The following is a 22,255-nucleotide window of genomic DNA, read 5'->3' on the forward strand; positions in this document are numbered from 1 at the left end:
CTACTCTATAATGTAGTTTTTTACTGAAGTTTATCAAACAAGCCAAGAAGCAAACAATGTACCATTTCCAGTAATGAAATTTAAAACTACTGAGTCTCAATTCTAAAAGCATGTGACCATACTTTCTATTGACAATTATGTCTGTTAATCCCCTCTTCTGAAATCATTAAACATCTTACTTAATGATGTTTGGATGTTGCTTAGAGGTTTTTAATGAGGAGTGCTGGTATAATATTACCAAACTCATACATATTGTGTAGCTGGATTTCAGCTTAGAGATTGATTAGTCTTTTTAAAAAACAGAATATATTCTCTTCATTTTGAGAAATGAAAAAAGGATTATTTACCAATCAAAAGGCGGTAATGTGACAGTCTGAAAAGCCTACTCATAGGGCCTGTACAAGTATGGCAGGATTGCAAATATGAATTCATTTTTGTGATGAAAGCAAATCCCTGCCACAAAAACCTAAAGCTTCCTTTATCTTATTTCAGTTTGCTTTAATGCTGGAGAATGGGCGTTTTGTGATTTAAAAAAAGTTTAAAGGTAGAACCTGACTGTAAACAAACTGAAAGACAATCAGAATAATAATACCAATGCATATGACACAACTGCAAAATGTAACAATAAATAAGAAAGTAAAAGTGTGGCCTCGTGCGGTGGCTCACGTCTGTAATTCCAACACTTTGGGAGGCTGAGGTAGGAGGATCACTTGAGCCCAGGAGTTGGAGACTAGCCTGGCCAACATGGTGAAACCCCGTCTCTACTAAAAAATACAAAAATTAGCCAGGCATGGTGGGGAGCACCTGTAGTCCCAGCTACTTGGGAGGCTGAGGCACAAGAATTGGATGAATCCAGGAGGCAGAGGTTGAAGTGAGGGGAGATCTCATTATTGGCTGAAAACAAGGTGCAGTAACGTGAGTGGTGGCTCCCTGCTAGACCTCTGTGGGAAGAATTCTCCAGGGAGGGAGGCAGGCCTGACCTGGAGGCTGGAAAGGGATGGGACCTGGTCCTGTGAGCTCCCAGGTAGAGGGGAGCACTGAGAACACTAAAAATATATTCTTCTGTATTAAGGCATTTTTCTATTAAATGGAAGTACCACCAGGGGAGCTAACATGAAATATTTTTCAGTCTTTTTTAACTCAAAAATAAAATGGCTATTTATAAATGTGTCTCCAGTGTGACAGTGTTCTTCATATGAATGCTGCAGAAATGAGTAGGGCTTTGGTAAGGAATAGGGAGAGGGTGGCTCCTGAACACAACTCTGGTTCAATGCCCTAGGGAGAGGGGAAGTTTCAGAAGCTAGGGGTGGTGGGAAAGCTCTGAAAATCTGGAACAAAGGTGATAAAACAGGGAATACAGTTGATCTTTGAACAAAACAGATTTGAACTGCATAGATCCACTTATACACGGATTTTTTTCAACCCAATGCAGATGGAAAATACGGTATTTGCAGGATATAAAACCCATGTAATTGGAGGGCCTGCTTTTCATATATATGCGCATTCAGTGGGGTCAAGTTTGGGACTTGAGCATGTGCAGATTGGAGTGTATGTGGGGGATACTGGAACTAATGGCTTGCTATTCCTATGGGATCCCGAATACCAAGGGATGACTGTAATTCCAAAACGGGGAGTTGCAGAGACCAGAGTGATGTAAGCGAGACACCTACGGTGCAACATTTAAGGCTGGACTCACTCCCAAGGGCTGCCCTGCACTTGCACCTGAGAATAACCGCCTTAGAAGGTGCCCCAGGTGTCCTCACTTTCTTCAAGTTGCCCTGGTCCCGGTGCCATAAACAAACTTCACTTAGGATAATTTGCTCAGAACTAATGCTAGTATTCTGAATAATCACAAACATATTATTAAAATGGATCAAAATTCAGATTTTATTCCATTTATATCATTTTACATGTATATGTACATTCTAACATCTGTTAGAATCTTTCAATATCTACCCAAGTATCATCTAGCTATCTATCTTTTATCTACCATAAATGCTATCTAATAATTTTATATCAGTTCATCACAGAAATAAAGAGAAACACTCACTTAATCAAAAATATATATGGATAGTTGAATATCTGGTTGGTTTGCCTGCTTTACTCATTTAATTAAAAACATACCTGAATAGTTAGAACATCTGGTTGGTTTGCCTGCTTTACATACAAATGTTAATAAACTCACATTTCTTTTCCCAACTATATACTAAGAACATCTTTGTATTTAGGAATGGCAAGGGTGGGTTTCCTAGAAATTTTCATGGATATAGCCCATTATCTGGTAAGAGAAAGATCAAGTGTGCATAATTAATTTTAAATGATGTTAGAAAGTAAAAAGGTCATATGATAAATACAAATGAATAGTTTGTAATAGAGCTGAGAGTAACTAAAAACAAACTCTTCCAGCTGAGAGGTTTAGAGATCTTCTGAGGAGAATAATATTTGAGATAGATTTTGGAAGACAACAGGTATGTATTTATTAGACCAGTGCTCTCCAGATAGATTAGATATCAAGAACCAACTAGAGCAGTCTGCTTTTAAGTGGAGTCCTTCAAAAAATACGAAAAAGGAATCATTTTTACAACTGTTTCAGGGAAAGCTCGTAAGTTTTGTGAAATTATATCTTTTGGTCATTCATCACTCTTTTGTTCCCACTCTCAACATATTTGCAACCCACTCCTAACACACACAGGTTAGCCTGAAAATTCTGCTAGACTTAATGTTGTATTTGTAACATAATTTCCGATAGAAAAGATGTTTTCTGTAACAATAATTATGATTATAGTATTTAAAAATTTTGAAAAGAATTTTGAAAATTCCAAAATAATTCTCTTTTCAGTTTACAGTTTTTTCATGAGCCAATGACTTTCCTATTTGTCATCTTCTCTTCTTCCTCCAACCCCTTTTCTATATAGGTTTTCTCCTATTAGTTTACTAAAATTAATTTCAGTCTCAATCAAAGACGTATGGCCAGCAGGTCAGTCTAGGTTTCTTTAAACACTTATTTTAGTTTTTCTTATCTTTTGAATTATTTTTATAATTAAAAGAAGTTCTATTTGTAAAAGAAGAAAGGAAATGTCATTTAATTTTGAGTGAACATTTTCATTTATAATGATATTCCATTACTTATTTGTAAACATTCCATAGACACTCACTTTTATTTTACCTTTATTAACTACTTTATAAGAAATTTTTGATTATGTGTATTAACCATTTGTAAAGTTTCAAATTAGATCACATTTGAATGTTTAATAAAATTTTATAAACATTTAAATTAATTTACATAAGAAAGTGACATGCTAAATCTTCTTCCTTGCATATACAAGTGAGATTTGCCTATCATTCAGTAAACATTTTTGAGTGTTCCCTATGGGGCACTCTAGTAAGAAATGGAAGATCTACTAGCCAATAATAAAGAGGTAGCAAGAGTCAAGGCAGGGTGGAATCTTAATGGAGTTTAGAAGAAATTCCATGTTGGCATTTTTCCATCCAGAGAGCTCATTCTTCATTCTTTCCTTTTTTCTCAAAGTTTTTTTCCCTTAGATTCTTTGTGTGTGTTTGGGTTGCGGAGTGAAGGGGTAGAAAACAACTTCTTTCCCCAATAAATTTGCCTCTTTATTACTGTGTATTGATGTTTTATGTGAGCAATAGTTATTCATGTATTTAATCTTGGAATTTTCCAACATACTAAACACTGTAATTCATTCTAATAATTTTCCCAATTGATTCCTTTGAGTTATAAAGATAAGCATAATATCTGAAAACAATAGCTTTATCTACCATCTGCAAATAGTTCAACTTTGGCCTCTTCTTATTTTTTTGCATTAATTAAAGACTCCAAAATTATATACTTCCCTCAAATTTTAAGTCATTCATCCACAAAACTTTCTAAACCAACTGCCTTTTGGAGGATATTTTGACATTTTTCAAATTCGTACTTTGTTCATTTTCTGTTCAGGTTTTTAATTTTATCTTGAATCAGTTCAAAAATTAATTCAAAAAATGGAAACATTTGTTATAATTTTTAAGCAAAATCTCCAGTTCATTATTATTTTAGAATTTATTGCTATTATCATTTTATTCTACTTGAAACAAATGGATATTATCTGTATATAATTTATAACAAGGATTTTTAAACTTGTAATGTGTGAATGTTAAGAAGTTACAGAAAAAGAAAAAAAAGTTTCTCTGATTAACAAATATTTGGGAAACCTCTGCTTAATCCAAGTATAAAATTTATTTTCTGAAGAATATTTGGAACAAGAATTTACATGTTAATAGATGCTTTTTATTATTTTGGGGTTATGGAAGATTCTGGAAACTTATTTCATGAAAGAACTCTCATTGATGGGCATAAGCTACACCAAACACTTTGAGGAATCCTGATTACCAAATATCCACTGGTGACAGGTCACACAGGCCATCTGTACATTCCCTGTTATACCAGATTTCTCTCTCTCCTCTCTTTTTCTTTCTCTCCCCCTATCTTTCCTTCAGGTACTCTTCTTATATTAAGTGTCCCCTGAAGTATAATGGAAATAAGATTTTTTTTCTGGGTTAAATGAGAGCACACAGTATTAATAATAGCTGATAGTTGCTGTGCTTTGAGAGTAATGTGGGGGGTGACAGTGCAGAGAAGAGAAAAGAAAAGTAGGTTGAGCCAAGGAAGGGCAATCATCTGGAGGGTAATTTCTCTTCTCCAAGGCTTTCTGTTTTTGTGCTCAAGAAATTCAGCATTGTCAGTGTGATCCTCCTCCACCTTTTCTTGGAACAGCATAATCTCACTTCTTGAAAAATGAAATTTCTCTGCTGCCATGCAACATCTTTGTGCAAATGAACGAAGGCTGAAAATACAGAGCTGGAATATTTCCCAGATGTATTGTGGGGGGAAAATTATATAAAATATACTCCCTCAGAACAAATTGTCAAAAATAAATTTTATATATTAAATAACTATAAGAATAATGATGGGAAAAAGACTTCATCAAATAAATGTACTGCTAATTATACTTCTGTAAAAGGCGACTTAAAACAATCTAGTTTGCTTAATAAAAAAACAACTCTGCTCATCAACTGTCTCTATCAAATTCTTCCTTAACAAATAAATTCCAAAATTCATAATTTTCATAGCAAGTCAAAATTCCTTTAAAACAAATGCTTGCGAAAAGATTATAGTCTTTTTGTATTTGAATCTGTATTTTATAATTAAAGGTTTCTCATAGTATTTAATATAATAGTAAGCAATCTCTTAGAAGTTGAAGACAATTTTTTTTTAAAAAGTAAGTGCTAATGATACATTCCTTTCATACAATGAACTGATGTATAATTGTATTACTCCTTGTTTTCCACATGAAAAGAAAGATGATTGGTAGTTGATTGGTGGAGTGAAGTGAAAGGAGTTAATTTCTAGGGCATAGGTACTGATGGTGGAGAGAAATATGTCCTCATGTGTATAAGTGGCTTATCATTTGTTACTGATAGATAATTATTTGACTTTGAATTTTGAACCCTCTACCATTTTAGACCTTTCTCAAATGAACTTCAGTTTTTCCATTTTGTGTCTCAGAATTTTTCAAGTTAAACCCATTACTTTCTCCAAACTAGATTTTTGGTTTGTTTTTTTCTGCTGTCCATACGGTTTCTGCCCATCTGCACTTTCATGCTATGTCTTTTTCCCTTTGTCAATTATTAACATTTTTTCTGTCTTTCGAGACCTACCTAAAGTTCAATATTCTCCATAAAGAGATGCATATTCTGGAAGCCCAGTAAAAACGGAAGCAATTGTGTGGAAGACATATCAGAACCTGGGAGTGTGGGAACACTGCATTAGAACTGTAAAAATTGGATTCAAATCTTGGTTCCATCGACAATTCAGTGATGTTGAACAAAGAAATGATTAGTTCTGATCCTCAATTTTGCCAGTTGATAATTGGGGATGCAAATAACTAGTACATTATCCCCTGTTACTGCAGAGATTAAATGATATGTTTAAGCAAGGGATATAAGAGCGATTGAGAAATGGAAATTATTATGCATATGTCCCACAATCTGTTAGGTACTTTGCACACAGTAGGAACTTAGCAACTGTCACTGTCCTTTCCCCACCTCTGTTCATCTGAAGCGACTATGTCACCATGCCATCTGATATGTATGTGTGTGTATTCACACATGTGCTTCATAGCACCTGATCCAATATAATATACAGAATTTTCTCTATAAATATCCTGCTAATGTTTGACTGATTCTCAAAATAAGATTTGTGAATCCTTAAAAATGAGAGGGAAAATAGAAAAACTAGAGAAAGTTAGAAATGGATCAAATATCCTACAATTTGTGACATATTCATGTGTTTCTCCACATGTCTTATTGTAGACTCCTTTAGGACATCTAAAAGATTGACACTAAGTCTACACATATTTAATCCCCAAAGCTCCGATTGATTTTGGCTAAGTAGGAGCAGCCAGTTTGGGTAAGTCTGAAGCCCCACTTGGGCTAAGGGCCCAGTTTTGCTAACAGTGCACATTCAGGGAACACTGTGAGCAATTCTATTTATCTAAGAGTTCAGCCTCGTGCTTGGGCTTGCAGGTGCAGCTGTAAATTTCAGGTGATTTACAGAGTGGGAAGCACACCAAATCTGAAATTATGATGGAGCTCAAGGCTCACAGCATCTTTTGTCAGATGCTCTGGTTTTATGAGTTTGGGTGGGTGCCACCACATTTTTCTTCCAAGTGCAATAAAAAAATGATGCCATTCAAGCTGAAAAGCTTAACAACCACTTTACCTTTATTGAATCTGTAGCTAATGTACTGAAATAGCAGGGGTTTTGCTGCAAATGTAATTTGGGTTTTTGTCTGGGCATCTCTTCATTCCTTAAAATTGGGTTTGTATTGAGCACAAGTGAGTTACCTAAAAGATCTAAAGATAAAGACCCTGGCTTGTCCTTACCGTTGCTGACAGATGCCCACCTAGACCCAACGAGAAGGAAGCACAGGCTTAGAAATCATGGAGACTATTCCTCTAGAAGCCATCTGCTAGACTAACTGTTGCTTTAGATAATTGCTTGACCTCCCCAGGGCTCAATTTTCTTATTAATAATTTGACAGAGTGGGAGTAGATGATCTTCATATTTCTTAAAGACCAGAAATGTTCTCTTCTAAGGAAACTTGCATGCTTAGATTTTTAACTTTTATTCGTTTTTTTTTTTTTTTTTTTTGACATTCTCTTTATGCACCTCTAAGACCCTGTTCCCAAAGTGGCACTCTCTTCCAGAGATGAGGTAAATTAAACACAGGTTTTTGATCCTGAATTATGCTAAAATTTTGACCCTATTTGTTAATCACACAGGAAACACTTACGAGCAAATGGGAAGAAGGAAAAGCAGTACTTTTATGATTCTTGAGTTTTAATATAGCTTTTACATAACGTTGAATCATATTGCATGTACATTAAAGACTCAAGGAAGCCTCACTTTTTTTCTAATCCTGTTCAGATATAGCTAATGATTTTTGAGCTCTTACTATTGCTACTCAATGTGCTGGGGAATTTCACCTGCATTATTGAATGTGATTATCACAACAACCATATTGAAAATTGCACAATAAGAAAGGAGGAGTTGTATTCCAACTCCAAACTTCTAATTCTGACCTAGTAGTCTTCCACAACTTCTGTTCTATGGAATCAAGCCTCTCATTACCAGCAAGCATAAACTGAAGGTATCATTCAGCTTACACTCCCACCAAAATCACAGCTTCGTACCATCCTTGAAGCCATCTCTGCTTCATAACATTGTCTTACTTTCCTCCTAGACATTCTGTAATTCTTTTCTGACTATGCAAATTGTAGGCTTATGTGAAGATCCAAATAAAGTCCCAATCCCCATCAGTAACTGTAAGTAAAAATTATAACAGATTTCATCTACTTACTTTTCTGAATAGTTTAGTGAATTTTGTCTGTACAACCCTTGGATGCATTTTGCTATTATCTTATGTTATTATTTATTAAATTAGCATTTGTCTATACATTCCTTTTTATAAAAAGATTATTTTTCTTGCCATGTAGTACATTCATAATAATTATTTATTAATCTGTTCATACAAAAAGAATTTCAACTTTCCTGGTCCTGAAATATGCAAATATGATAAGGCACTCTTAACTCTTTCAGAACTCAAAGTGTGGAGTGAGATATACAAACACTCGAAACAAATACACTTAAATATTACAAAGTCTAATTCAGGACTAAACTTGACTTAAATATTATTATAAGAACAGGTGTGGAAAGGAGCTTGTGATTAGGATAGTAGGTTTAGAGGACACATCAATGCAGAGGCTAGAAATTAATTGAAAAGTGACCTTTCTTTCAGACAGGGAAGAATTGTTATATTAGAAAAAAACAGTATATTCAAACAGGCACAAGTATGGGTTATTCTAGGAAAAGGGCCTGATTCTGTGTACTAGAGCAGGTAGAATATAGAGAGATGAGACTGACTTTATAACTTGGTACCTGTCAAAAGTTTTATGCTATGCTGAAAAGTTTGGACTTGATATTGGGAGACATATTTTTCAGTTTTGTTTTTTGGTTAGCAGAGGTTTGATGCAATCACATTTGGTGTTAGATAGATAACGCTGGGTACAGTGTGGAGAATAAATGGGGAGGGGCTATTGTCGCTATCATAGCTGTGGTGAAGAAAGTGAGGTAAAAATTGATTCAAGAGATGTTCAAGAAATATAATCAACAGAACTCAATTGAATTGAAATGGGCTCTTGGTCCCTCTAGATTGTTTTTCCTTTCTTTTTCTTTTCTTTTTAAATACAAGTCTGCCCTTATTTCAAGATCTAAATTGTTGAGAGCACCTGCCACCATCTAAGTAGAAGTCAATTGCTTTCTTGCTGACTTCTTTTTTAAGAACAAATCAAACTCTCGTCCTTGCCCTTTAGATATTAGAGTTATCTTTGGATGAGAACACTGCTTAGTTGTGGAAGAATTGTCAAGAAAATGATGCCCATATATGTATTTAAAAGTTACCTCCCTATGGTACTACTTAAAATAGGCTAAATGGCAAATCTGTGGATAGAAAAAAAAATGTACCAATTTCAAAGAAGAAAGATCTTGAAAGTTGTATTTGAAACTCTCTTTCACAGTGTATATTAGGCATACAATATATCACAAAAGGTGTTAAGGTAAATTCCAGATTGTCATTTTCCAGAGGGCAAAGAAACAACACATACAGAATTGTGTTTTTCTGTAAGAACAAATGCATTTCTCATACTACAGTAGATCCTACATCCTAATCTACTATGTGTGATGTCTAAGGAAATTTGTTCTCTCAATGCCAAAATGTTTGTTGCCTTTTCCTCCCAGTTGTGGATATTGTTTAAAATTCATATGCCTCTGCCACTTCTCAAAATTTCAGTTGCTCATTTTTCTGTTCTTTAAAAGGTTTTTAATACTTAAGAAATCATTTATCATGGTCTCTTCCTTCAGTAGCAGTCACTCTGAGTTGGCAATCTTACAGATTTTATAATCCCCTTCTTTCCTGGCAACGAATTCTTGATTTTGTTCAGAAATGCAATTACATTACGAGAAGATGAACTATGATTACTGTAAAGCAGTAGTGGTAGAACATTATCCACTGTTAGAAATTTACTTTTGTAGTCTTCTGTGAAACTAACATATAGTCATATGATAAGTATGGGCAAATGAGGGGTTAGTATTATTATTTTAAAAGCCTTCTGGAAGGATTTTGACTGTCTGATAATACAGATAGTATGCTGAGAATCTGCTTTTACTTTTCCCTCAATAAATGTATAAATCATTAAATAGAGTCATGATACCCACTGAGGTGGTAGTCATCTTTCAATCAGAAGTAACATGCACAATGACCAAAATACAAAGCTATGAGGATGGTGGAACAAATGGGATAAAAAAACCTGAGTTCTGAGGTGTGAACATAAATTACTCTCTGAGGGCAAAAAACAAACAAACAAACAAAAATCCTGATTTGTAGCATTTGCCAATTTTAATGTATACATAATCTAACTATAGTTGAATTTACCAATCACAGAACATCCAGCACACCACTGCCTGGGTCCCTTATGACATAAATGAGCTACTGGGCTTGCTCTAGATTATCTAACTTAGATGTCGCTACTTACTTATTTTTAAAAATACTTAACTAAACATCTACTATATGTCAGGAGCTCTCCAAGGCATTTGGGATACATCATTGAATGAAGTATAAAAAAGAAAATCCTTTTTTTTTTTTTCACAGAGCTAAAATTCTATAAGGGCGAGAAAGACCATCAACAATCAACATAACAGATAACTACATTATGTGATATTTTAGAAGTTGATAGCCTCATTAAAAAAAGAAAGAAACAGTAGAGCAGAGTAAGGAAGATAATAAGAATCTAGTGGCCAGAAGAGGCAAATTGTAGTAATAAATAAGAAGGTCCAGATAGGACGCATTGAGTCAGTGACATTTGACCAAAATTTTGAAAGAGAAGAAATGTTTCACTAATTGGATATCTGCGAGCGGAGCATTCCAGGCAGAGGGGACTGCAAGAGCAAAGGCGGTTGCTCAGGAGCCTGCTTGCGGAGACATCAGGAGCAACGTTAGCAAGAAAAAGGAGGAAAGGTAACTGGCACAAGATCATGGGGCCCGTGTAAGCCATCAGTTGTTAAAGCAGTGAATATTATTGCTGAAATAACTGAAGAAAAGTTACTGATTCCTATCTAGGACAAAGATGGATAATTATGAATGCCCTGCCTTACTGATAATCCTTCAACATGAAATCCAGAACCTGAGTTATTACAAATTTTATAAATTTTCACTTTGTTATAAAAGAAAGCATACAGTCTACATTTTGCCTTATTTGATAAATAATAGATTCATATCAAACACTTCATAAAATTTCTGTTAAAACCAAATTACAAAACATTCTGGGAATAGATTAGTGCCGAAGTAAATAGACTTCACTTATCCCAATCTCTTTCTTTGTCTTCCTCATTCTATTTAACAAAACTACCAAAAGGATGTACAAAGACTGATGATTTTTAATAAAAATTAGAATAAATAACAACATGCTAAAAATGTAAAAATATTTTCTGAAAGCATATATGCAGATGAGTCTAGAGAGTGGGTCTGAGGGCATTAATTTACAGGAAGAGAAATCACTGTCCTGTAGGCATATTTCTGTATTGCATGGGACTATGAGAGCTTAATAACAAGACCCTCAGTTGGGTGGAGGGTGGGGTGGTGTCTACAGAAAGCACAAATAACGCTGTTATTGAAGGGTAAGAAGCAGTAGTACAACTCACCTAGATAAAGCCCACTCTGGAAGTTTTTAAAATGGGGAATTAAAATAAACAATTTACAGAAAAATTAGAAATAAACTGACAGTCAGTCACTCTGGCATTCAAGGAAGTATAAATTGGCCAGAAGTGGTGGCTCATGCCTGTAATCCCAGCACTTTGGGAAGCCAAGGTGGGCGGATTACCTGAGGTCAGGAGTTTGAGACCAGCCTGGCCAACATGGTGAAACCCCATCTCTACTAAAACTACAAAATTTAGCCCAGCATCGTGGCTGACGCCTGTTACCCCAGCTACTCGGGAGGCTGAGGCAAGAGAATCCCTTGAACCCAGGAGGCAGAGGTTGCAGTGAGCCAAGATTGCGCCTTTGCACTCCAGCCTAGGTGACAGAGTGAGACTTCGTCTCAGAAAAAGAGAGAGAGAGAGATAAAAAAAAGTATAAATTTTGAAAAAAGAAGGGTATTTTTATCAGTTATATATTTTTAGTTAATTTTATATTGGATATAATATCCACTATGGTTGAAGTGCCTGTTAAGAAGGTCTCTCATATATGTAAATATCAAAACAAACCATGTACTGCTAAGGAATAATTAGCCTACATGGATAAACATTATCAATATACATAGACCTTAATCTCAGATATGTGATTTCTAGGAATCTCAATTAAAGAATTTAATCCTGCTTTGTGTTTAAAATTTTGTCTACAAGAGCCACTTTAATAGGAAAAAGAAGAAAACAATCTAAATGTTTAACTGATATTTGTTAATGGTTAAAATAAATTACTGCTTATTTATCAGTAAAATGTTTTATTGCCATTAAAAATAGCTTATATTAAATGACTTGAAAATATTTTCTTTCCCTTATATGTCATTAAGCTAAATATGTGCTATGAACCTGTATGGTGTTTTGTAAAAAAGAAAAAAAAGCCTACTGAAACAAAGATACACAACAAGATTTTGAATATTGGTAATATTTTGTGTGACTTTTACTTATTTGTTTTCTTGCTTTTCTGTTTCCTCCCCTCTAAGTTTTCAAAAACAAACATGTATTTCTTCTGTCGCAAAAAAAAATAAAAGAAAAATTTACAACAATGGTTTATCAATTTACTAACAAAATAAATTTCTCTCTTAATGTTCTAGTATTAAATATTTTCATTATTTTTTAAAACACATTCAAAAGTACAGTTGACCCTTGAACAACATAGGTTTGAACTACACCAATTTTCTTCCATGCCTGCCACCCTTGAGACAGCAATACCAACCCCTCCTCTTCTTCCTCCTTCTCCTTGGCCAACTCAACATGAAGATAACAAGGATGAAAACCTTTATGATAATGTACTTCTGCTTAATGGATAATAAAGATATTTTCTCTTGCTTATGATTTTCTTAATAATATTTCCTTTTCTCTAGATACCTTGTTGTAAAAACACAGTATATATAATATATATATAATATATATATCATATATATTTATTCCTTAGCAATACATGGCTTGTTTTGATATTCATATTTACATATATGAGATATAGAAGATACAAATGTGTGTTATTTGACTGATTATGTTATCAGTAAGGCTTTGGTCAAGAATAGGCTCTTAGTAGTTAAGTTTTGGGGGAACAAAAAGTTATATATGGATTTTTGACTATGCAGGGAATTGACAACACTAACCCCCTCATTGTTCAAGAGTCAGTTGTATTATAAATGGATATTTGGGTTTTAAGACTGAAAACCTAACACAGCATTATAGTCTTTCGTATTTCAGTTACCAAATAAATGTCCTGCATAATTGTTTATACTGATAGTGGTGATTATTACTGTTTTGGCAACATAATTTTGTGTCAGCAGTTGTGCCTGTTTTCTTGGCTTTTATGAAAGTTTGCTTTTGTAAACACGTTTTAACTGATTCATTTTAATTCCATAATATTATGTTGATCTTTTCTAACAGGCAAATAGGCATTTACTTTAAGCATTACAAACTAGCAAAATGTCCCAACAATGAAGAAATACTTACTTTTAAGAATAAAATGAAGAAAATATGAGATCTAAGTGAGCAACTGGGAAGTTTACTCCAACAGGTACTAGAGTGCAGCCTCAGGCAATTCTTGTCACTATTAGCACATCCTAAAATTTTTATCAAAGTGCAATTTTTATATAACAATTGAAACAGTATAAATAACATCATATTTGCAAGCAAAAGAAAATGGGCAATAGATATCTATAATGGTTAGTTTTATGTGTCAACTTGACTGAGTCACAGGATGCCCAAATATTTGGTTAAACATAATTCTGGGTGTTTCTATAGGGTGTTTTTGGATGAGAATAACAATTCAATCTGTAAACAGAGTAAAGCAGGCTACCCTGCCTAAGATGGATAGGCCTCATCCAACCAGGTGAACGCCTGAAAAAACAAAAAGGCTGACCCTCCCACAAGTAAGGGAGCATTTCTCCCACCTGACTCTTTTCAAACTGAGACATTGACTTTTTCCGACCTGAAGTCAAACAGAAACATTAGCTCTTCTTGGCTGCAGCCTGCCAGGCTTCCAACTGAAACTATCTCACAGGTTCTCCTGCTTCTTGGGCTTTTGGATTCAGATTGGAACTATAACATCAGCTCTCCTAGGTCCTCGGGGAGGAGTGGGGCTATATGTTTTGTTTCTATGGGGAACTGAAATATGCAATGTCTATCCAATTTTGAAGGGTACTGTACTATTCTGCAGTAGGTAAAATAGCTTGTTCACTGTAGAGGAGTATTCTTTCAGTGATGATAGAGGAATCAAGTAATAAATAGATATTTTACTATGAAAACTGCTCTGTAATTGCAAACTGGTATTCTCTGGCAATTTTGAATTATAGGAAGATTGTACTAGCCAGAGAATATGGATCTCTATCACCTTAAATATTTTATTGTTGCAATTTCATAAATATTTCTTGTATTATTTTGACCTGAGTTTCTTTCTAATTTAATTTAGATCTGAGTCAACATTTACAAATCCCTATGCTACACTGAATAGTTCAGAACTTTGGAACTTCAAGACTCTGGTACATTCATCAAGAAAATATCTCCATCCAGGTGTCTGGATGGGCAGTTTGCAGCTCTTCTGCAGTGGGCCATTTGCAGCTTTTCTCAGGGGAAAGGCTACACTGTGGGGCTTCTTCAATCTCAACACACAGAAGAGTAACTGCTATTGAATTCACATTTAAAACATAGCTATATTTTCCAAATCAGTTTTCCATGCTATCATTTTATTTGCACTTCATAAAAATACCATAAAGTAGAAAGGACTGAAAAGTATCATATTTAACTTAGGAGGGGGTGAAGGATACTGGTTGAGTGCAAGGGTGTTGGAGTAGGAAAGACTGAGTCTGAATCCCAGCTTTGTCATTTACTGTTTCTTTCTGTAAGTTATATATTCTTTTTTTTTCCTCAGTTCCCCATTTATAAAATAGAAAAAATGGCACCACCTACTCATAAGTTTGTTTTGAGAAATACAGTGTATGATACCTGTTAAACACATTGGATAATGCCCAGATGTATTATATATTCAATAAATGAAAATTGTTATTTATGTTAATAGTATTGCTTTTGAATGGAAAAATGATACACAGAGAAGTTAAAATGATGTGAAAAAAGCCAAGAGCTGGTTAATAGCATAGTTGAATTTAGAAGTCACTTTAATTCCTGTATCCCTAACCTACAATATTTCCCTAACCTATGACAGTATGTGATTAAGTGCAAAATATATAGATAATAAAAAGTTACATAAAAGTTTGCATGACATGGACAATCGTATACTCCATGTATTCTACCTTGGAAAACCAATGATAATTCTAAATTTTACTTGAAGTTTCCTAGCTCCATAAGCTGTTTACTAGATAGAAATCTTTTGTTATGTATTTGAAAAATCAGATAATCTAAAATGTATCCCCTGGTTGTGACCTGAACTTCTTCGGTCTCAGTGGACATAAATATTCCAATCTTGTGTACAGTTTATCTTTGAATATAAATAAATATATGGTTTCTCATTTGTGAATTGACCAGATGAAGTTGTTTAGTTTTAACTAACTCTGTAACAGAATTATAGCCCCTAGAATGCATAATATGTTGCATCAAAAGTACCATTTCTTTTCATTATGGGATATCACTTACCATCCATGGGGGTCTTTCCCACTCAATACAGAAAGGCCTGGGAATTAATTTTGACAAAATGCCTTAAGAAAACACACACAGAAAATAGGAGTACGTACAAGAGTTGAATAGTATATGCCAAACATACAATATATTCTAATGATATCACAACAATATACTGTTCTCAGTCTTCAAATAGCCTCAACTATTACATTACTATGGATCTCATGATTTGGAGAAGATTGCAAAGACATGTTACTTTGGCTAGCTCTTGGAAGATATTTAGAGTTTAGTTGGGCAACAAAAAGCAGTCAGAACAGTCCATGTTACTAATTTGATATTCGATGATGTCTAAGAGTCAATAATGATGACAAATTAGTGTGTTTACATGTGGAGCAGATCCACATAGTTGGATACAAAAACCAGATATTACTATGAAACTGTGTGCAGATTATCTTAGAAAATATCCTTCGTGGCTAGCTGTGCACACTATGATATTCCACCCCTTGTGCCATAGGTTAGATGAAGGTTTGTCCTTCACTTAAAGAATTTTGCTGTGTGTGTGCATGTGTGTGTGCGTGTGTGTGTATTGCTATAGGCTCACTTAGGAGACCCCTATAAGAATGGAACTTAGCTATAGTTTTTGGATTTTAAGACTGTTCTGTTTGCACTTCTTAATTCTGTAAAAGAGAAACCAGACTGTAAATTGATAAAAGGGAGATTTAAATAGTGACTTAAATACAACATCTCTTTCTACAAACTCCAGAAATATAAATACACTTCCCCAGATTTAGAATATTGTGATTAAAGAGAACTAGAGAACAGAAGGAAACAGATATTGAGTGGGTAATGAATCCACATCAAGTAAAAGATTTGTAAAAATATATTGTAAAATTAAAAAAAAGCATAGTATCAGAGGAAAGGCCTGGTGTTAATATCTCATAGTATGGAAATACTAATAATATATAAAAGAAAAACAAAATCAAGGCAGTTGACTAAGACAGTGATTAATCCAGTTTTTCTAGAGGTGATAGTTTTTCTGTTTTTTCCCTTTTTAGAATCAAAATAGGAAGATCTTACTTACTATTTACTGGTAAGTGTTTTTTGATAAAACATTTTGCCTCTTTAGGTTTTGATTTACTTATGTTTAAATTCAGACGAGCTACATTACTTAGACAGTGAAGTTATTTCAACCCTACCAATCTTAATAATCCAATGTTTTGATCTAATTTATGTTCTTTATATTCATTCTTGTATTCTAAAATTCCAGGAATGCAGAAGACTATAAAACACATGAAATATCAGGCTAAAAGACTGCATTATTTTTAGTTTTTTTTAAACTGAGTCACTAAGAATCTTTCTGCACATCACCAATTGATTTGATTTTTTTTCCCATATCTAACTATATGTCACTTACCTCCAAGACGAATGGAATTGTTCCACTTCTCCATCAAAATCATCTGGTTAATTCACAGTTTAAATTTCTTGCAGAGGTCTATTGTGAGCAGTACTTTGCTTTCTGAGCTCTAGTACAAATGCCATCTTTTCAACAGCCATACTCTCTGTCCTTTCCTGAAAATTTTGCTTTGGCCTTTACTGTTCCTTAATCTTGACATAGGCATTGAAATATGCCAAGCTGATAGAATACTCACTTGCTGATTTGATAAAAGTATGGTCTCACCTTTTTCTTTTTAGGAATCTTAATATAATGCAATAATCCAGATGTATCAGTAAGAAGAAAGCCTTTTAGTGCTTATAACTCCAAATTGGAGCACGGCATGAGGATTTGAGTAAAGAAGCATTGAATTTCCCATGACATAAAGGAATGTCTGCTTTACTCTTAAACGTAGAATGACACTTATCTGAAGTAACACAGGCATATATGGAAACAGGAAATACATCAATACACCCTGTGGTTTTGTGGTCTTTGTAGGGCCCAAAGCAGCTAAATCAATGTTGTACCAAATAAGGCATTCGTTGCCTGGACTATTCTTTGTGGAGATTTTCAGGTTGTTTGTGTGCTTAGTACAAATATATTTATATACAGCCACAGGTATTGGGGCTTGCTAATTTAGGCTTTTTTTTTTTAAATAAAGCAAGTGTTTTATTTTCACTTTGCAATAAATAACAACACTTGTTTGTTCCATTATTTCAACTACATTAAAATTAAGGAAAACAGAACTATCATCTCTAATTTCCACAGTGTTTGATATCATTTGATTTCTGTGCTTTCATGGCCTGCTGGTAGTGGTTGTTGGTACTCTTGGTGCATAGTTCCTCTCAGGTGACAGCCTGTTCTAAGGTGAGGAAGGCTTGAATTAAATGGCAATTCACAGCATCATCAGAAAATGCTATCTTCAAGACCTAGCAATCACTTTTTATTTGCTAATTTTACCTACAATTGCTGTGAACTTTGTTCTTTACTCAGAGAGGTGCATGGAAAGAGTGTTAAAAGCCAGCTGTCACTTCTGAGGTGAGAATCAAATGCTGAGAAATGGTATTGTCTTGAAAAGATCACCCTGAAGGTCATTGCTCTGGACTAGATACAATAACAATAGATAGTAGCAGCAAGACCTTCCTGACCGAAAGAAAAAGAAGGTTGCGCTTTGAGGAGGAGGGAAAATATCTCACACACGCGTGCGCGCGCACACACACACAAACACACAGTGATATGCATAAAATAAGGCATTGATAAGAGCAGAGGATGCTCTGTAAATGCAGTTTCTCTGTTAAACTGGATTTTGTTGAATCACATTTGAACAATCTAAGAGCTGAAAATGAGTATCTTATTCACATATATTTGTTGACTTTGAAGAACTGGAGCTAAAAGAGAAATGTAACTTTAATAAATGAAGATAACTCAGTGACAAGATGTATTCTTATTTTTGCAGAAAATCTCTTGGTTAAGGGTAGCAACATATGTATATTGTCTTGTAACCCAAAGCAGATCTTATTTCCAGATTATGTTTCTACCCTCCGATTATCTACTTTTGTCAGGATGGAATTTAAAAGCATATGTCACCACACCAGAATTCAAAATTGGAAGCATTTAGCTGGCATCTTAAACACGTCTGACATTGAAGACATTTTCCTCCCAACTACCCACAGCTTTCATTCAAACTCTTCTATTATTTGTGGACTTGTCCATTTCCCCCAGGCTATTGTAAAATTTTACGGAGAGAGAAAAATCCAGCTACCAAGAGCCAGGTACATGCATAAGATAATTCAGTCCTCATGAGGATGTCCTAATAAGTAAGGTACTTATGACTGTTTTGAAATTTGCCAGGCTGAAAGAATACTCACTTGCTTATTTGAGGAAAGTATTTCCTCACTTTTTAAATTTTTTGGATTCTTAATATAATATAATGACCCAGACACATCAATAGTAATACAGCCTTTTAGTGCTTATAATTCCAAATTAGAGCATGGGATGAGTATTTGAGTAAAGAAGCTTAGGCTGGTGTATATGTGTGTTTCCACATCAGAAAATCTAAATTCAGAGTTTAGTAATGTCCTCAAGGTCACATAGCTAGTGTAGTAGGTATAAGATACAAATCCTGAACTCTCTGACATCAAATGTGACATGATTTCCACTATGATTTGCAAGTAGAAGAGTTTCATATTTATTTATCTTTTATTCTCCCCTTTCCTTGTCTAAAGCTAAGTGCGGAGTTTTTCAAATAATAATATTCAATAGATGCTACTTATACACAAAAAACACACACCTCCATATTAATAGAAAATGGAGAGGAAGAGAAAGTAATTGTTTTTTACATGTTTATTACCAGTTTGATTTTTAACAATTCTCCTCATGATATAGAAGGCAAAGTAATCATATCTCATATCATTAACACTCAGGGACCTGAAATACAGTGGTGGCTGCATGAGATTCAAAAAGCTTTCATCTCATTTAATAAGAATAAATGTTAATCTTACACACACTGGTTTAAAAAGATCTATGGGACCTAAAAAGATTCAGACTATAAGTAGTTCACCACATTTTAACAGAGGAAAATCAAACAAAATACATCCCACGTGGAGGACAATGATCAGTGTTACTAAATAAATTGGGAATATTCCATCAAAGAAACTAGGGATATTTGCTAGGAGAAGAAAAGTCTTGGGGAAAATATGAAAGCCTTTCTCCAGTATTTTAATGTGACCATATGGAACAAGAATTAAACTAACTCTATTTGTTTTTAAAGTGGTGGGATTCAGATCAAAAGGTAGGACATGGAATAGAGCAATTTCCTCCCAATATGAAACCAAGCTATCCAAAGATGGAATGAAATACCCAGGAGGTAGAAATTTCCACACCTCTGAGATTGGTTATGAAAACATTTAAAAACCTTTTGTTAGGAATTTTAAAGAAATGAAGTGGGCTGGGCGTGGTGGCTCATGCCTGTAATCCAAGCACTTTGGGAGGCCTAGGCGGGCGGATCATCTGAGGTCAGGAGTTTGAGACAAGCCTGACCAACATGGAGAAACCCCATCTCTACTAAAAATACAAAATTAGCTTGGCGTGGTGGCGCATGCCTGTAATCCCAGCTACTCGGGAGGCTGAGGCAGGGGAATTGCTTGAATGTAGGAGGTGGCGGAGGTTGCAGTGAGCCGAGATTGTGCCATTGCATTCCAGCCTGGGCAACAAGAGTGAAACTCCATCCCAAAAAAAAAAAAAAAATGAAGTGATCTTAGCATCAGATGGTTCTTAGAATCCCATTCAATTTTTTCCCTTTCTTTTTTAAGACAAGGTCTCTCTGTTTTTCTGTTGCCCAGGCTGGAGTGCAGTGGGGCAATCAAGGCTCACTGCAGCTTCAACCTCCCGGGCTCAAGTGATTCTCCCATCTCAGCCTCTCGAGTAGCTGGGACTACAGGTGAATGCCACCACTTCAGCTGTTTTTTTTTTTTTTTTAATTTTTTTTATAGAGACAGGGTACCACTATGTTGCCCAGGCTGGTCTCAATCTCCTGGCTCAAGCGATTCTTCTGCCTCAGCCTCCCAAATCTTGATTCTTACTTAATTATATTCTTTCCATTATTGAAGGAGAAAACCATTACTGTGGTCCTGAAAACATTCCCCACCTCAATTTCTGTCTGGGTTGGTTGTCTGATAGCACAATAAACACTTACGTAACACTTCGCATACACATTGTTTTAAGAAGTCATTTATCATTGTGTGTTTGCCTTTCTTTCTCTTTGCTCCCTGTGGGCTCCATAGGCAGAAATCATGTCCCTCCTGATACTCACTTCACATATAATATGATTTATTTAGTCAAAAAATATTTATGGGTGACTAACAACACACTAGGATTCCCTTTTCAGAAGTCATGTTTGGATGCTCTCAGGTAGTGAAAAAGAGTCAACATAGAATTGATACCAATGACACCATTGGATTTACATGGCCCACCTAGCTCAATGGCTATTTTTGAATAGGTTTATAAAATTAGAGAAAGTCCTATCCAAAGAAACAATTTACATTTCTTATCCAGGTTTTGTCTATCCTCATCATTTTATCAGAGAAAGTATTAGACTTTCATCAAATGCTGATCCCTAATTTGGAGACATTTGTTTTTCTAGATTTTCACATAAGTTCTCATTGAACATATGAACTCACATAATTTTGAGCTCCTTCCTATAATTCCTAAGATATAATGATATTTTAGAATAAAAGGAATCTCTAAGATTCTTGCCTACTTCAAAGGAATAAATCAGAGAGAAGTATACTTACTCATAATATAGATATTGACTACATAAAAGGTGAGGACTACACATTTAAATAAGAGAGAATTGTTATCATCTGATGGCCCTATTTAAAATAGAAATGAAAGATGTATTATGACTGTCACTTTGCATGTTTCAAGTGAGAAACTAAAGCACACTTATCTCTAGACCTCTGAAGATCACTTTACATTATGAAAAATGTTTTGACTATCAGAATTATTTTGTTGAAATAATCTAAATTATTTTTAAGAAAACACATGTTACTATCAGGGTGATTAGTCAAAACCCCACATAAGATTTACTCAGTAGCCACCGTGAAAGGAGCAAGTGGGGATGGGCCTATGTATTATTCCTTTCCCCATCTCTGAATGTAAACAAAATAGAGTAACTTGGTACTATTCCTTCCAGGTTAGGATGATTCTCTTCCCACAGAAAAACACCAATTACCTACCTCCCTGCCAGATCCATCCAAAATTAAATAACTGAATCCCTTTGAGAGTCACGAAACATTTCAGAAGTAAATTTAAACCTATCTATATGCACTTTCACTGGGGAACGATCTCAGTTTCCATCATCCTTCTCTTTGAAGCCTTGAAGAGCTCGCCTACATGAAACAATTATGATGCAGTGATCTCATCTTGAACATTTTCCTCAGGGTTTTCATCAGCTCTGCTGGTTACCTTTCTTTCCTTAGAGCAATTTCAATTTCCTTATGACTCGGCAAGGAGCATTTGGATCAATACTGTATTTTTTTCTTCTTTCAGTTTTGGATTGGCTCTTCATTTTTTTTTTCTAAGACTGATTTAAAATCTTTTCCTTACAAAAGGTAAAACTTTTAAAACTCTGAACTGTATCCTTTTTCAAACAATCTTTGATTGATGTGTGATGTTGTGTCACATCACTTTAGGTAACTCTGTCTCCTTGCATTATACAAATCAGCAAACAAGTGAGAATGATAGACTGAACTGAAAAACAAGCATTAGGTTTCCATGATGTATATGTGTCACATTTTCTTTACCCAGTCTATCATTGATGGGCATTTGGGTTGGTTCCTAGTCTTTGCTATTGTAAATAATGCTGCAATAAACATACGAGTGCATGT

At 34.7% G+C, this 22,255-nt stretch overlaps 1 protein-coding gene and 1 long non-coding RNA gene across 5 annotated transcripts in view; one reads left to right on the forward strand and one right to left on the reverse strand.

The window, feature by feature from the left end:
- LRRTM4 (leucine rich repeat transmembrane neuronal 4) overlaps window positions 1–22,255 on the reverse strand; it is a 774,692-nt gene that overhangs the window by 96,878 nt on the left and 655,559 nt on the right. The gene's annotated exons all lie outside the window — the stretch shown is intronic.
- LOC105374815 (uncharacterized) lies at window positions 3,441–20,572 on the forward strand. The gene is made up of 3 exons (XR_940263.3): window positions 3,441–10,634; window positions 13,253–13,382; window positions 14,277–20,572. It is a non-coding gene; the product is annotated as an uncharacterized LOC105374815 (long non-coding RNA).

The sequence above is a fragment of the Homo sapiens genome, chromosome 2 (assembly GCF_000001405.40).
Source record: "Homo sapiens chromosome 2, GRCh38.p14 Primary Assembly".
Classification (NCBI taxonomy): domain Eukaryota; kingdom Metazoa; phylum Chordata; class Mammalia; order Primates; family Hominidae; genus Homo; species Homo sapiens.